General features: G+C 53.9%; 2 protein-coding genes across 10 annotated transcripts in view, besides 4 other annotated features; one reads left to right on the forward strand and one right to left on the reverse strand.

Annotated features, from left to right (window-relative positions):
• BOP1 (BOP1 ribosomal biogenesis factor) overlaps positions 1–257 on the reverse strand; it is a 29394-nt gene extending 29137 nt beyond the window's left edge. Inside the window, exon 1 of the mRNA NM_015201.5 lies at positions 91–257. Within this exon, the coding sequence (NP_056016.1) occupies positions 91–189 (99 nt within the window). The 5' untranslated portion in view covers positions 190–257. The remainder of the gene's footprint in view (positions 1–90) is intronic.
• Positions 1–500: a silencer, noted in NCBI's record as "silent region_19670". NCBI's record gives its function as "represses an Ori minimal core promoter by ATAC-STARR-seq in GM12878 lymphoblastoid cells {active_cell/tissue: GM12878}" and the evidence as "EXISTENCE:reporter gene assay evidence [ECO:0000049][PMID:35858748]".
• The window catches only part of HSF1 (heat shock transcription factor 1), a 23117-nt gene continuing 7492 nt past the window's right edge, over positions 423–16047 (forward strand). For 7 of the 9 annotated variants that reach the window (XM_005272315.4, XM_005272316.4, NM_005526.4 and 4 more), the window contains exon 1: positions 423–693. In XM_005272315.4, coding sequence (XP_005272372.1) covers positions 577–693 — 117 coding nt within the window. In that variant the 5' untranslated portion in view covers positions 423–576. Of the gene's footprint in view, positions 694–15365; positions 15587–16047 lie in introns of those variants that run through there. The other 2 variants (XM_047421740.1, XM_047421741.1) reach the window with 2 other exon arrangements.
• Positions 611–770: a silencer, noted in NCBI's record as "silent region_19671". NCBI's record gives its function as "represses an Ori minimal core promoter by ATAC-STARR-seq in GM12878 lymphoblastoid cells {active_cell/tissue: GM12878}" and the evidence as "EXISTENCE:reporter gene assay evidence [ECO:0000049][PMID:35858748]".
• Positions 902–1558: an enhancer, noted in NCBI's record as "H3K27ac-H3K4me1 hESC enhancer chr8:145515765-145516421 (GRCh37/hg19 assembly coordinates)". NCBI's record gives its function as "activates a minimal SCP1, AML or CMV promoter by ChIP-STARR-seq in naive H9 embryonic stem cells {active_cell/tissue: H9 hESC(naive)}" and the evidence as "EXISTENCE:reporter gene assay evidence [ECO:0000049][PMID:30033119]".
• Positions 1161–1220: an enhancer, noted in NCBI's record as "active region_28091". NCBI's record gives its function as "activates an Ori minimal core promoter by ATAC-STARR-seq in GM12878 lymphoblastoid cells {active_cell/tissue: GM12878}" and the evidence as "EXISTENCE:reporter gene assay evidence [ECO:0000049][PMID:35858748]".

Consider the following 16047-nt stretch of genomic DNA (forward strand, 5'->3'; position numbering starts at 1 on the left):
ACAGAAGCCGGGCCCACCCGCCCCAGCGCGGCCACGTGCCCGCCGGGCCCTCTAGGGACGCGCCCCGCCGCCCCGCATCGCCACAGTCACCTCCGGCTCGGGCTCAGGCTCCAGTTCGGGCTCAGACCGCCGCTTCTCCGGCCGCACGCTCGGCGCCGCCGTGCGCCCCGCACCCCGCGAACCCGCCATGCCCCACCGCGCGCCGGCCGCCACCCGCACAGCCGCTTCCGACAGCGACCGGGCCGCGTGCGCAGGAGGACGCGCCCCGCCCAGCCCGGCCCCGATTGGCGGGTGGAGGGAAGGGGGTGGGACCAACACGCGCAGGCGCGCGGCTGGGCCGGGGACCAGGGCGGGGTCGGGGCCTGCGTGCTCGCGCCGGGGGTGACGCGGGAGGGCGGCAGCGGCGGCGGCGGGAGCGCGCCCGTTGCAAGATGGCGGCGGCCATGCTGGGCCCCGGGGCTGTGTGTGCGCAGCGGGCGGCGGCGCGGCCCGGAAGGCTGGCGCGGCGACGGCGTTAGCCCGGCCCTCGGCCCCTCTTTGCGGCCGCTCCCTCCGCCTATTCCCTCCTTGCTCGAGATGGATCTGCCCGTGGGCCCCGGCGCGGCGGGGCCCAGCAACGTCCCGGCCTTCCTGACCAAGCTGTGGACCCTCGTGAGCGACCCGGACACCGACGCGCTCATCTGCTGGAGCCCGGTGAGGGCAGCGCGCGGGCGCGGGGCCCGTGGGGACCGGGAGGGAGCAGGGCCGCGGCGGACGGCGCGGGAGGGCTGCGGGGAGGGGCCCTGCCGCACTTCAGCTTACGCGCGGTGAGCCTGCCCTGCCCCCGCCAGAGAAGGGCGGCGGGTCCCGAGCCTGCTCAGACCCAGAGCCTTAAGTTGGGAAAGCGGCTACGAGACCCACACTCGGTTCAACCCCTGCCCCAGCGAAGTTTCCCTGGGATGGGGAGAATGGGGCGTCTCTTGTATTGGGCTTCTGCTAACTGTTGGGCGGTTGCGGAAGTGTCCGCGCTTAGGGCAAGCACCCGGCTTCGCCAGCGGACGCTATGCCCCAGAGGACATCGGCGTCCCCAGGGGACAGCCTACGGGGTGCTGGGTCGGCAACTATTAGGAGAAAGTCAGGACTTGGCACGTGAAGTGGAGGGCGTTGCTGTAGTGGAACAGGAAAGGCAGTGGAAACAGTAAGACGTCATGAAGCTTCAGGTTGATCTCAAGCCCGTTTCCGAATCCCAAATCTGGGTTTCCCAAGAGGAGTTTTGTTTTTCATTCCTTATGGGGCATCTTTATTCGTGTTTCTGTCTTCAGTTGCCTGGCAGCAGGCTTGTTTACATGGTCCGACCCTGCAAGACCGGACAGCTCCGGTTTGCAGAAGTAAATCAGTGATTGTCTGGAGTTGGAGATCAGAATCTGCTGTTCACATCCCGGCTGTGACGTCGTGTCCGGTGAGGGGCAGAGCCACCGCCTGCGGCTGGCAAGTGATGACCTGAAGAAGGGCCACACTGGCCGAGTGGGGTGACTCTTGCTTGTAATCCCAGCACTTTGGGAGGCGGAGGCGGGTGGATCACTTGAGGCCAGGAGTTCGAGACCAGCCCGGACAATATGGCAAAACCCCAGCTCTACTAAAAATACAAAAAATTTGCCGGGCGTGGTGGTGCTTGCCTGTGGTCTTAGCTACTTGGGAGGCTGAGATAGGAGGACTCCCTGGACCTGGGAGGCAGAGGTTGCACTGAACCAAGATCCCGCCACTGCAGCCTGGCAAAGAGTGAGACCCTGTCTAAGAAAAAAAAGAAAAAAAAGAAAGGCCACTGATCATTGGGAGCTTTTGGAGGCACCGTGACCGGCAGGGTGCCACCAAGCATGTGTGGCCTCCCAGGAGCTAAGACCCCAGAGTTCTTCAGGCTCTGCTGAGTGCCTCCCATTTGCACAGCCTCTTTATGCTGTTAGGAATGAAGAAAAGTCTAAACTGAAGCTGCCCCAGGCAGGAGGCCAGGTTTTCTGCTTCTTGGGTTTACTGAGGCTCTGCTTTACCTACAGAGTGTTTGGAAATAAAGAGAAGACTGGAAATCTTTGCTCTTGTTAGAAACACTTTGTGTTTGTCCCGCTGACACCTCTGTGTTGGCCTTCCCATCCCCAGGTCCCATTAAGGCACAGTGCACCTTCCTGGAGGCTGGCTTCATTTCACCATCTCTTCATTCTAGACCTTGGATTCTTGTGCAAAGGAAATACTCCCATGTTTCTGTCTTCTTTTATCCGTCTTTTTCTTTTTTCTTTTTTTTTTTTTTAGACCGAGTCTTGCTCTGTCACCCAGGTTGGAGTGCAGTGGTGCGATCTCGGCTCACTGCGACCTCCACCTCCCGGGTTCAAGCAATTCTGCCTCAGCCTCCCGAGTAGCCAGGACTACAGGTGCGTGCTGCCACACCCGGCTGATTGTTGTATTTTTAGTAGAGACGGGGTTTCACCACATTGGACAGGCTGGTCTGGAACTCCTGACCTCAAGTTATCCACCCGCCTTGGCCTCCCAAAGTGCTGGGATTACTGGTGTGAGCCACTGCACCCAGCCCTTCTTCTTTTTCTTATTCCCCTTAATCCTCAGAAGTTAAGGGGAATAACTCCCCCATTGGGGGAGGGGCATCCGCGATTATCTGGGATATTCTAAGCTTAATCCTACTAGCGTGATCTGTCCTGTCCCGTAATCTGCTTGCTGTTTCTGCTTAAAGATTATGAGGCATGTGGGTTAGGGCCCAGTGTACCCTTTTTTGGGACCGAGGCATGTTCTGGGCAGGGCTTTTGAGCAAGGAAGGCAGGTGTGATGAGGCCCGTGGCCAGCCTCCACTCCACTCACAGGTGCACCACCTGTGGATCTGTTCTCCCTGGGGAGGGATGGGGAGCCAACTGGAATGTGAGTGTTTGGTTCCACCTGGTCAGTATGAAGTGGCAATGGTTGGTGCAGGACGTAGCACTGGGGGCGAGCATGGCAATGAGACAGAAACACTGACTTAAAACTGGAAGGAAGCCCTTCTCCAGGCCGCGCAGGGGGCTGCAGAGCTTTCCGGCGCTGGCTGCCTGGCCTGGAGAAAGGAGGTGATCATCCCATCCTGTGACTTTGAGAGCACTCACACAAGCCCTGAGGACTCCCTGTCAGCAGAGTCCCAACAGGGCACCCTCCCACAAATCTACTGCCCAGGCCCAGCTGGCTCTCGGAGGCCTTGAGAAGGCCCTGGTGCTCTTGCTCTCTGCTGCCTTCTCTGGGAGAGTCTCCTTCTGGCTCAGAGTCTTACCACCATTCTGCCAAGAAAAACCCTCCCTATTTGACACAAGAAGATGAGGCAGAATCACAGGCATGGTGACTAACTCTCAAGGCTGAATAACCTGGGGGAGACCGAGGCCCAGAAACTGGCCAGTAACTTTACTGAGCCTGGCCAGGAATGGGACCAGGTCTGGACCACCATTGCACGTCCCCTCCCTGGCCTGAGATCAGGACTCCCACTGCAGCCACTGGAGGCAGAATGCCGGGTCACTGCCCAGGAGACCCCATTGGTGGGGACTGTGGCAGCTACCCCATCCCTGTGTTGTTTGATTTCCCACCCCCCCCTCCCAAGACCCTCATTCCCATGAGCACCCCACCCACACAGGCAAGGGCCTTGAGGGGACCCAGCAAGTCGTGGAGGACAGCACAGCCTTGGAGAGGAAATGTGTCAGCCACAAGGTTATGATCCCGGGGATCCACATAAGAGCATGGGCGTGCACGTGGGTGGTCCTCCCTCAGCCAGCTTCTCAACAGCTTCTCCCAAAGGTACACCTGGATCCAGTACCACTGAGACCCAAAGACGGGGTTGGGGGACTGAATACCTGGACTGACAGGCACCTCCATAGAACTGAGACCCATGAGACCCGGGACCCGCAGCCTCCCTGCCCCGTGCCCTGGTGCCGGCCCTCAGCCCAGCTTCCTCGTCTGCATGCAGCAGCTCCTCTGTCCACCAGCAGAGGCTCTTCTAGGGCCTTGCTGGGCTGCAGCTGACTCAGGAGGGCAACAGCCTCTTCAGAGAATTTGACAGCATGGAGAACCAAACAAAAGCAGAAAGTGAAGCCTCAGAACTGGGTTCACCATCATCCCAGTTTTTTACAAGCTATGATTTTGTCCCATCTTTATTAACAAGATAAGGAAGTATGAAAAGTAATCTCGACATCTGAGATGGTGAGATTACAGCCCCAGGAGCCACCCAGCTGGCTGAGGAGCCTGAGAACAAGGCACAGCCACATGACCTGTGCCAGACAAATGCTAGAATGATGGTCACGCAGGTTAGAACGAACCCAGGTAGACGGAGGCCTCAGGATCAGGGTGAGGCCAGAGGGGGCACCTGGGTGCAAAATTTAAGGAAGCACTTTTTGTTTTTTAGATAAGGTCTCGCTCTGTTGCCCAGGCTGGAGTGCAGGGCTATGATTGCAGCTCGCTGCAGCCTCTGCCTCCCAGGCTCAAGTGATCCAGTCACCTCAGCTGAGTCACTGGGACTACAGGCTTGCACCACCAGACCTGGCTTTTTTTTTTTTTTCTTTTTAAGGTTTTAGTAGAGACAGGGTCTCGCCGTATTGCCCAAGCTAGTCTGGAACTCACGGGCTCAAGCCATCCTCCCATCTCAGCCTCCCGAAGTGCTGGGATTACAGGCTTGAGCCACCGCGCCTGGCCCTGAGGCATTCCTTTTTAAGACCTACCTGCATTCGGATGGCGCTGGGAGTGGGGGCCTCCTTAGATGTGGGCTCCTGGATGCTTCTCTGTCTTCACCTGGCCCCAGCCTCATGGGTGCAGCTGGAAAGACTCTAGAAGGATGTGCTGAAACCCTGGGGCTCCCTGAGACTGAGTGAGCTGGAGGTCACCAAGGCCCTCGGCCTATCGCGGGAGAGAGTTCCATTGAAAGCCAGTGGTCAGGTGGCCGCTGTGGAGGGTCTCTGGGTGGACAATTGGGAGCAGAGTGGTCCCTGCAGTGAGGCAGGGGGCAGGGCCTGAGGGGTCCCTGAAGTAAGGCAGGGCAGGGCGTCCACTCATAAGCACACGAGGAGTTGCAGAAGCAGAGCCGACCTGGCCACGCTCAGTCACTCAGACCCTGGTCACAGATCGTGTCCGGAGCTCCCACGGCAGGCAGGGCCACCCCTGCTTCCCTGGTTCTGAGAGCCGCCAAGACCCAGCAGGCCCACTGGCCCCACCCTGGAAGATCTGGTATTTGGCCCAAGATGCTGGAGGCCCCACAGCAGCAGCTGTGAGAAGTGCTGCAGGGTCTGGAGGGCCTGATGTGTGCCCGGACCATAGTGCCTCCTGGTGTGGCCATAAGAAGGCACACAGCTGGGGCTGGTCGTGGTGGCTCACGCCTGTAATCCCAGCACTTTGGGAGGCTGAGGTGGGCGGATCACGAGATCAGGAGGTCAGGAGATTGAGACCATCCTGGCTAACATGGTGAAACCCCGTCTATATTAAAAAATACAAAAAACTAGCTGGACGTGGTGGTGGGTGCCTGTAGTCCCAGCTACTTGCGAGGCTGAGGCAGGAGAACGGCGTGAACCCAGGAGGCGGGGCTTGCAGTGAGCTGAGATCGCGCCATTGCACTCCAGCCTGGGTGACAGAGCGGGACTCCATCTCAAAAAAAAAAAAAAAGAAGGCACACATCTGTCCTCATACAGCTTCTGTGCATAGCACAGAAAAAATTAAAAAGGCTCTGTGCTGTAGCCTCCTGTGTTTCCTCTGCCCCGGATGGTGTGGTGGGGGGGGTGCGGTGAGGAGGGGCCCAGGGCACAGAAGGGCTGAGCTGCAGTGGCCTCCTGGGGGGAGGCAGATGCCTCCGGTGCCCCATGCCCACCCAACTCCACAGGCTAGTGTTTGCTCAGTCCTTTATTGAGGGACCAGGGATGGACAGCCTGGCCCTGAAAGTCTCTCAGTTTTGGAGGAGTCAGCCTGTGTGCAGGGCGAGCTGGAGAGGGGTCGGTGGGGCTCACAGTGCCTTCCCAGAGGAAGCAAGCAGCTCCCATCGGGTATATTGAGGGCTGTTGGCTCCAGGGTCTCCTCAAGGTCTGGCAGGTGGAGGGGAGGCTGTCTAAGGAAAGGAGGTGGTCCCAAATGTCTCAAGGCACCTGGCAGCAAGGGCTGCTGCTGCCTCAGCCTCCTCCCTGTGACCCTGTGGGCCATGGTGAGCAGCAGTAGCCACCACACTTGTGCACGGCAGCCAGTGACGAGATGTGATGAGAGATGAGGGCGATTGTGCTGCTCTTGGTCCTTGTGTGGCGAGAACACGCTGGAAGCTCCTCCAGAGCGGAAACAAGAAGAGTGTTTATGAGAAAGGTGCGGGTGGCTCAGATGTGGACAGAACCAGACCAGGGAACGGGGCCACAAAGTGAGCCACTTTGTCTGCACCTGCTCGCGCTTCCTGCCTGCCTCACTGCTTCCATGCCCTGACTCCGGTGGTCCCTGCTCCCCACACGTGGGCCACAGCTACTCACACACGCGCTCCCTTTGCTCCTAAAGCCTATACTCCCGGGACCCGGAGAGGGAACAGCCGGCCAGCCGAGCCCAGGAGCCCAGATCACCGGTCAGCAGATACAGCTTTGACTTGGCAGGAGGCTGGAACAAGAGGCTTGTGGCCTGGGCTGTGGGGCCACCTTGTAGAATACGGCACTGTTCACGTTTTGGGCCAGGGAGCCCTTTGAGAAGATACTCAGAGACACAGACACTTTCTATGTAAGGTGTCCCTACAGGCAGGATCTCACACACATTTCAGGTCCTTCACAGTGCTGCAGAAAATGAGGCCACAGGCTCCAAGTTTACTGCAAGCTGCGGGGTTTGCTGACACCTACACTTCTCAGCGTGTGGCATCTCGCACCAGCCAGGGGCCTCCCATTTCCAGTGGCAGGTTTTCGTGATATCCAGTTATGACCGGTGACTCCTCCAAGAGGTGCCTGTGGTCAGCAGAGGAGGGACCTTGTTCCACTGAGGCAGGAAGATGAGAGAGACACTGGGTTCTCTGATGGGTTCACCAGCAGACCCTGTGAAATTCATAATGGCCCCTAAGGTAGGGGTTGCCTGACATGTTCAACTTGGATTTAACCCTTAAGGCATAAGAAGCCGCTGAAAATGTTCAGACGTTACAAAACTAGGGCCGGGCACGGTGGCTCACGGCTGTAATCCCAGCACTTCGGGAGGCTGAGGCGGTTGGATCACCTGAGGTCAGCAGTTCAAGACCAGCCTGACCAACATGGTGAAACCCCGTCTCTACTAAAAATACAAAAAAAAAAAAAATAGCCAGGCGTGGTGGTGCGTGCCTGTAATCCCAGCTACTCGGGAGGCTGAGGCAGGAGAATCACTTGAACCTGGGATACAGAGGTTGCAGTGAGCCGAGATTGCGCCGCTGCGCTCCAGCCACAGAGCGAGAAACTGTCTCAAAAAAAAAAAAAGAAAGAAAAGAAAAAACCGGCGAGGACTGAGGTAAACCACAAAATTGTCCAGGCTTTTTATGTGGAGGGAATTTGCAGACTCACGTGCAGAGAACCCAACAAACCCAGACTTTGGGGCAGCTGAGGCAGCTAGAATGTGTGGGGTGTGGTACCAGAAAGGAAGGAGTTACGCCCAAAACAAAGAGCTCCAGCAATCTGCGCGTGAGCCCGCTTGCATCTTGGGTTGGATCCGATTTGCTGGTGCACACAGTGAAACCTCGTGGAGCTGGACCAAGAGCAACTTGAAGGGGAAGAGTAAGTGTAAGGGGACAGATGAGCAGGACTCACACAGGGCCGTGGTTATTTCAGTTCCCACCAGCCAGAGTATAGAAGCCACTTTAAATACAAGGAGCTTTCATGACACCTTAGAGGAAACACAGCTTGGAAGTGGCGCAGAATAAGCTGCAGAGGAAAGGCCACTCCAATGCCGTGGAAACAAGTGCAAGGCAAGCCCTGGAAACACCACTGCCTGCTAGCACGGAGTACACACAGCACTCTTGAGAGAAGGAAGCCAGGCGAAGTGGCTCACACCTGTAATCCCAGCACTTTGGGAGGCCGAAGCAGGCGGATTATCTGAGGTCAGGAGTTCAAGACCAGCCTGGCCAATATGGTGAAACGCCGTCTCTACTACAAAAAATTAGCCATGTGTGGTGATGGGCGCCTGTGGTCCCAGCTACTTGGGAGGCTGAGGCAAGAGAACCACATGAGCCCGGGAGGCAGAGGTTGCAGTGAGCCGAGATCGCATCACTGCACTTCAGCCTGGGCAACAGAGCAAGACTCCTTCTAAAAAAAAAAAAAAAAATTCACGTCCAGAATCTAATCAGTCATGGGCAGACAAGCCAAAGCAGAAAAATGGACTTGTCACTGGAGGGGGTCCAGTAGCAGGCCCAGTTTTGATAGGATTAGCCAACAAAGACAGTAAACAATTATAAAAATGTTCCCTGTGCTCAAAGAAATAACACAAAAATGTGACTGAGGGCTGGGCGTGGTGGCTCACACCTGTAATCCCAGCACTCTGGGAGGCCGAGGCGGGTGGATCACGAGGTCAGGAGATCAAGACCATCCTGGCTAACATGGTGAAACCCCGTCTCTACTAAAAATACAAAAAATTAGCCGGGCGTGGTGGCGGGCACCTGTAGTCCCAGCTCCTCCAGAGGCTGAGGCAGGAGAATTGCTTGGACCCGGGAGGTGGAGCTTGCAGTGAGCCAAGATCGTGCCACTGCACTCCAGCCTGGGTGACAGAGCGAGACCCCGTCTCAAAAAATAAGAAAACATGACTGAGAAATGGAAGATACAGAAAAGAAGCAAGTTGGACAAAATGTCACTGGAACTAATCTCCCAAGTAGAAGAATTCCACATTGTTTACTGAGATAGTTCCCCTTCGAGGAGGTGATGCTTAACTCCTCACTCCAGAAGCCTGGGCTTTACCTAGTGACCCTCTTCCAAAGAGCAGAGCACAGAAGCAGGAGGAGCAGCTTTCCAGTGGAGACCTCCAGCAACACAGCCTCACCAGGGACCATGCTCACCATCAGCAGTGACATGCGTATCACTGTTGTGTACTCTTTTTTTTTTTTTTTTTTTTTTTGAGACGGAGTCTCGCTCTGTTGCCAGGCTGGAGTGCAGTGGCACAATCTCGGCTCACTGCAACCTCCACCTCCCAGGTCCAAGCAATTCTCCTGCCTCAGCCTCCCACGAAGCTGGGACTACAGGCACCCGCCACCTCGCCCGGCTAATTTTGTTGTATTTTTAGTAGAGATGGGGTTTCACCGTGTTAGCCAGGATGGTCTCAATCTCCTGACCTCGTGATCCGCCCACCTTGGCCTCCCAAAGTGTTGGGCGCGTCAGCCACCGCGCCCGGCCTGTTGTGTACTCTTGATAGGATGATGAGAACAGCACTCTACCTCTTTGATCTTCCTCCCAAAAACATACGTAACCCCAGCTAATGATGAAAAAACATCAAACAAATCCAAATTGAGAGACATTCCACAAACTGTTTGACGAGTCCTCAAAATTGTCAAGGTTCTCAAAAACTAGGCAAGTCTGAAAGGTGCCAGAGTCAGTGGGACTGAAGAAGATGTGACAACTGGATGGATTTTGGATGATGTCCTGGAGCAGAGGAAGGATTGGGTAAAAAGCTAAGGAATCTGATTAGAATGTGGGTCCTAGTTAACAATGTGTCTAATGTTCTTGAGACAACTGTACCACACAAAGGCAGGATGTTAATGATGGGGGACACTGGTGTAGGGCATGTATTCTAAAGTAAAAAGGTGGTTCTTCAGAGTCACCGGAGCGGTTTAACAAAACATTAGAAACTTCAGAAGAAAAGATTCCTGAACTAAAAGCAATGGAAACTGTCCACAGTGATGTACAGGGAGAAAAAGGACTGCAAAAACTTAGCCGAGCTTCAAGGACATAATATCATGTGGTCTAACGTATTTGAGGTTCCAGAAAACAGTGGGGAAGAGAATACAGAAATATGACCAAAAGGCTGGACACGGTGGCTCCTGCCCGAAATCCCAGCACTCTGGGAGGCTGACATGGGTGGATCGCTTGAGCCCAGGAGTTCAAGACCAGCCTGGGCAACATAGCAAGACCCTGTCTCTATAAATAATACAAAAATTAGCCGGGCGTGGTAGTGCCTGCCTGTGGTCCCAACTACTCGGGAGGCTGAGGCGGGAGGATCACCTGAGTGCAGGAGGTGGAGGCTGCAGTGAGCCATGATCGTACCACTGCACTCCAGCCTGGGCAACAGAGCCCTGTCTCAAAAAAAAAATTATGGCCAAAATTTTTCCCAAATTTTTGAAAAGCTGTAAGCTCACAAATCCAAGAATATCAGTCTTAAGCAGGATAAAACCAAAACCATATCAAGGTACATTATATAATCAAAGTGCTGGAACAGGCTGGTGAAGAGAAAATCTTAAAAGCTCCAGAAGAGGCCGGGCGCGGTGGCTCACGCCTGTAATCCCAGCACTTTGGGAGGCCAAGGCGGGCGGATCACCAGGTCAGGAGGTCGAGACCATCCTGGCTAATACAGTGAAACCCCGTCTCTATTGAAAATACAAAAATTAGCCGGGCGTGGTGGCGGGTGCCTGTAGTCCTAGCTACTCGGGAGGCTGAGGCAGGAGAATGGCGTGAACCCGGGAGGCAGAGCTTGCAGTGAGCCGAGATCGCACCACTGCACTCCAGCCTGGGCGACAAAGCGAGACTCCGTCTCAAAAAAAATAAAAAGCATCCAGAAGAGCCGTGCACGGTGGTGGTGCCTGTGGTGCCAGCTACTCAGAGGCTCGGGTGGAAGGATTGCTCCCAGATGGGGCAACATAGCTTGGCCAACATGGTGAAACCTTGTCTCTACTAAAAATACAAAAACTAGCTGGGCGTGGTGGCAGGTGCCTGTAATCCCCGCTACTCGGGAGGCTGAGGCGGGAGAATCTCTGGAACCCAGGAGGCAGAGGCTGCAGTGAGCCGAAACTGCACCATTGCACTCCAGCCTGGGCGACACAGCGAGACTCCGTCTCCAAAAAAAAAAATTTTTTTTTGCAACTCAGGAAGACAACCATTTAAAAAAAATTAAAGGCAGGCCGGGCGCCGTGGCTCACGCCTGTAATCCCAGCACTTTGGGAGACCGAGGCAGGCGGATCACAAGGTCAGGAATTCAAAAGCAGCCTGGCCAATATGGTGAAACCCCGTCTCTACTGAAAATACAAAAATTAGCTGGGCGTGATGGCAGGTGCCTGTAGTCCCAGCTACTCAGGAGGCTGAGGTGGGAGAATCGCATGAACCCGGGAGGCAGAGGTTGCAGTGAGCTGAGATCGCGCCATTGCACTCTAGCCTGGGCAGTGGAGCGAGACTCCATCTAAAAAAAAAAGATAATAATAATAATAAATAAAACGCAAGTGGCTGAGCATGGTAGCTGACACCTGTAATCCCAACACTTTGGGAGGCCAGCGCGGGTAGATTGCTTCCACTCAGGAGTTCGAGACCAGCCTGGGCAACATAGGGAGACCCATCTCTACAAAAAAAAATGAGCCTGATGTGGTGGTGTGCTCCTGTGGGCCCAGCTACGCGGGAGGCTGAGGTGGGAGGATCTCTTGATCCCAGGAGGTAGAGGTTGCAGTGAGCCCAGATCGCGCCACTGCACTCCAGCCTGGGTGACAAAGCAGACTCTGTCTCGAAAAAACATACATTGAAAAAGGCAGAAGATTTGAACAGATACATCAAAAAAAAGATAGACAAATAGCAAATAAGCACTTGAACAGGTGCTCAGCATCGTTCGTTGTCAGAGGAATGCACACGAAAACCGCAGCGACAGCGACTAGAACAGCCAGGTGCTGAGGAGGGTGCGGAGCCCCTGGAACTCACCCGTGCTGCTGAGAACACAAATGCTGCATCCGCTTTGGAAAGCAGCTTGGGAGTTGCATGTGAAATTCAGCATTTACCACACGGCCAGCAGTTCTGCTTTGGTTATTCTACTCCAGAGTTTCCACTGGGGGTCCTTTATGATTTCGTCTCTTCTATCATTTTTTTGGTATAGATGGGGGTCTCGCTATTTGGATTATTGTTGCAGGCGTGTTTGGGGTTTTTGAGTAGTGGTAGTGTCTGAGGTCAGTCAGGGTTGTTCTGGCCCCAGCAGGGCTCTTCGTAGCTTTTCCTGTGCAGGTGAACAAGCCTGCGGTTTCACTTGTTTCTCTTAACTTAGAGGAGCTGTTGTTCCCAAGAGCAGTCTTGGGCTGAACTTTCAAATAAAATGAGTTTCCTCAGGGAGCTTCAGAGCTCTTTCCTTATGGACGGCCTCTCTCCCCAGGCTGATTTCTCTGCACCACCCTTCTGGGCACTGGGTAAGACAGCAGCCTCTGATCTTCTTGGCCTGGCTTTCCCAGCATGGGTGCTCTACCCTACTGTTTTAACCTAGAAAGCCTGAACTGTATTTAAAACTTGTGGTTTTTAAGGCCAGGCACAGTGGCTCATGCCTGTAATCCCAGCACCTTGGGAAGCCAAGGTGGGTGGATCACTTATGGTCAGGAGTTCAAGACCAGCCTGACCAACCTGGTGAAAGCCTGTCTCTACTAAAAATATAAAAATAAGCCGGGCGTGGTGGCACATGCCTGTAATACCAGCTACCCAGGAAGCTGAGGCAGGAGAATTGCTTGAACCCAGGAGGCGGAGGTTGCAGTGAGCCAAGATGGCACCACTGCACTCCAGCCTGGGCGACAGCGAGACTCCATATAAAAAATAAAAAAAAAAATTGTGGTTTTGAAAATGCTTTAATTAGGTGGGAGCTGTGGGGAGGGTGATCAGAGACCTGGGTGTCCTCAGCCTGCTGTGGCGGGGGTAGTCTCCTCTCTGAGGCTTGGGCAAGGTGGAGGAAGGGAGCCCCTGGCTTCTTGGCCACGTGCACCAGGATCTTAGTCTCTTCAACTTGGAGTCGGTGAGGATGTGAAACTCTGGTGGTCTGCCCAGCCCATGAGATCCAGGAAACCTTATTTGGGAATTGAGGGGAGAAGGGTCCCCATCTTCCTGCTCCCCTCTCCCTGAGTGTAGTACCCATCATGGTGAGCTGGGGTGAGAGGGAAAGAGGAGGCTGAGGCTCAGATGCCACCAGGCTTAATGTTCGTACCAGGTGTCAGTAGATTTTACTCCGTAAGTGTTCATCTGTTATATGCGTTTAGGACAGTTTTGAGACTTTAAGTGGTTTAAGCTTTGCTTGTTTCACAGGAAGTACTTCCATGAAGTTCCTCACATTGCTGTTCCAGAAGTGGAAATCTCTCCATTTTCAAAGCATAGCTTTGCCGGATATTGAATTTTTATGTTTTGTAGAGATGGGGTCTCGCTATGTTGCCCAGGCTGGTCTCCAACTCCTGGGCTCAAGGGATCCTCCTGCCTTGGCCTCCCAAAGTGCTGGGATTACAGGCATGAGTAACTACACCCGGCCAATATACAAAGATTGAGTGGCAGGGTCTTTTATTTTAATGCTTTTATTTTATTTGTTTTGGTTTGTTTTTGTTTCTGTTTTTTTGGAGATGGAGTCTCGCTCTGTCACCCAGGCTAGAGGGCAGTGGCACGATCTGTGCTCACTACAACTTCTACCTCCCGGGTTCAAGCAGTTCTTCTGCCTCAGCCTCCCAAGTAGCTGGGATTACAGGCATGAGCCACGACACTAAAATTTTTCCATTTTTAGTAGAGGCGGGGTTTCACCATGCTGGCCAGGCTGGAACTCCTGACCTCAAACGATCCACACACCTCAGCCTCCCAAAGTGTTGGGATTACAGGCATGAGCCACCACACCAGGCATTTTAATCCTTTTTTTTTTTTTTTATTGAGACAGAGTCTCACTCTGTCCCCCAGGCTGGAGTGCAGTGGGGTGATCTCGGCTCACTGCAACCTCTGCCTCCTGGGTTCAAGCGATTCTCCTGCCTCAGCCTCCCGAGTAGCTGGGACTATAGGCGCCCGCCACTGTGCCGGCTAATTTTTATATTTTTAGTAGAGACGGGGTTTCCCCATGTTGGCCAGGCTGGTCTCGAATTCCTAACCTCAGGTGATCCGCCTGGCTCAGCCTCCCAACATGCTGGGATTACAGGTGTGAGCCACCATGCCCGGCTGTGTTACACTTTTTGTGGTGTCTCACAGGTCTCTGAGGCTCTGCTCATTTTTGTTTTTGTTTTTATTTTTTTGAGACAGAGTCTCTTTCTGTCACTAGACTGGAGTGCAGTGGTGCAATCTCGGCTCACTGCAACCTCTGCCTCCAGAGTTCAAGCGATTCTCTTGCCTCAGCCTCCCAAGTAGCTGGGATTACAGGCACATGCCACCATGCCCAACTAATTTTTTTTGTATTTTTAGTAGAGATGGGGTTTGACCATGTTGGCCAGGATGGTCTAGATCTCTTGACCTCGTGATCCAACCACCTTGGCCTCCCAAAGTGCTGAGATTACAGGCGTGAGCCACTGCGCCTGGCCGGCTCCTCCTTCTTATTCCTTCTGTCTTTTTTTCTCCTACTGGAGCACCTCAATTGACTGATCTTCATGTTTGCTGACTCCTTCTTCTCCTAGTCAGGTCTGCTCTTAAGCCCCTCTGGTTAATTTTTTTTTTTTTTTTTTTTTTTTTTTGAGACGGAGTCTCACTCTGTAGCCCAGGCTGGAGTGCAATGGCGCGATCTCGGCTCACTGCAACCTCTGCCTCCCGGGTTCAAACAATTCTCCTGCCTCAGCCTCCTGAGTAGCCGGGATTACAGGCATGAGCCACCACACCTGGCTAATTTTGTATTTTTAGTAGAGACGGGGTTTCTCCATGTTGGTCAGGTTGGTCTCCAACTCCTGACCTCAGGTGATCCGCCTGCCTTGGCCTCCCAAACTGCTGGGATTACAGGCGTGAGCCACCGCGCCCGGCCCCTCTGGTTGACTTTTAATCTGAGTTATTAAACTCTTCAGCTCCATAATTTTGATTTCGGGCTTCTTTACAATTTTTATCTCTTTATTGATACTCTCTGATAAGATGTCATTCTCATACTTTAGTTCTTCAGATGTGGTTTCCTTTAGTTGTTTGAACATATTTGAAATGATTGACTTAAAATCTTTGCCTCGTAAGTCCAGTGTCCAATGTTTTGGCTTCTTTGGGGACAGTTTCTATTGATTGCCTTTTTTTTTTTTTCCCGTGTATGGGGTATGGGTCCTAGCTTCTTGTTTCTTTGCATATCTCTATTTTTTTTTTTAACTAGAGTTTTTTGTTTGTTTGTTTGTTTGTTTGTTTTTGAGTCTGTTACCCAGGCTGGAGCGCAGTAGTTCAATCACAGCTCACTGCAGCCTTCACCTCCGGAGCTCAAGGGATCCTCCCTCCTCAGCCTCCTGAGTAGCTGGGATGATAGGTGTGCGCCACCACGCCCACTTAATTTTTGTATTTCTTCTAGAGACGGGGTTTTGCCATGTTGCCCAGGCCAGTCTCCAACTCCTGAGCTTGAGCAACCCACCCGCCTCGGCTTCCCAAAGTGCTGGGACCGCAGGCGTGAACCAGCGCAGCCGGCTGGAAAACTGGAACTCTCATCGGTTGAGAGTGGCAGCTCTGGAGCTCGGACTCCCCCACCTCCCCAGGATTTGTCATTGCTGCTGTTTGTCGTGGTTATCTGTCAGGTAGCTTTTCGGCACTAATTCTGTAAAGGTTGCGTTCTTTCTTGTTTATGGCCACTGCCGTCTCTGTTCAGTTAACTGAGATAGGTGGTGATGGGGCAGAAATGTTCTTGAATGCCTGGGGCCAGTGAGTCTCCCGTCTTTTCCGGGGGCTGTGTGTGTGTGTGTGTGTGTTGGGGACGCCTTCAGCACTCGGCCAGGCAGTGGACAACCCAACTGTATGCCTGACTTCCTGCTTACACAGAGCCTCAAGGTCAGCCAGAAGTGAGAGCTCGGGGCTGGCTCAGGTCTTTCCTGAGCACGGGCACGGCTCACACGTGTACACGGCTGCGAGATGTCCTGGAATATCTCAGAGCTTTTCAGAGCCCCTAGTGGCACCTCCTTCTCCCCAGCTGCCAGGCACTGCCTCAGGCAGCCACAGCGTTCAAAAATCACCTGTAAAGGTTTCAACAGGCACACCTCGG

Source organism: Homo sapiens, chromosome 8 (assembly GCF_000001405.40).
Source record: "Homo sapiens chromosome 8, GRCh38.p14 Primary Assembly".
Lineage (NCBI taxonomy): Eukaryota > Metazoa > Chordata > Mammalia > Primates > Hominidae > Homo > Homo sapiens.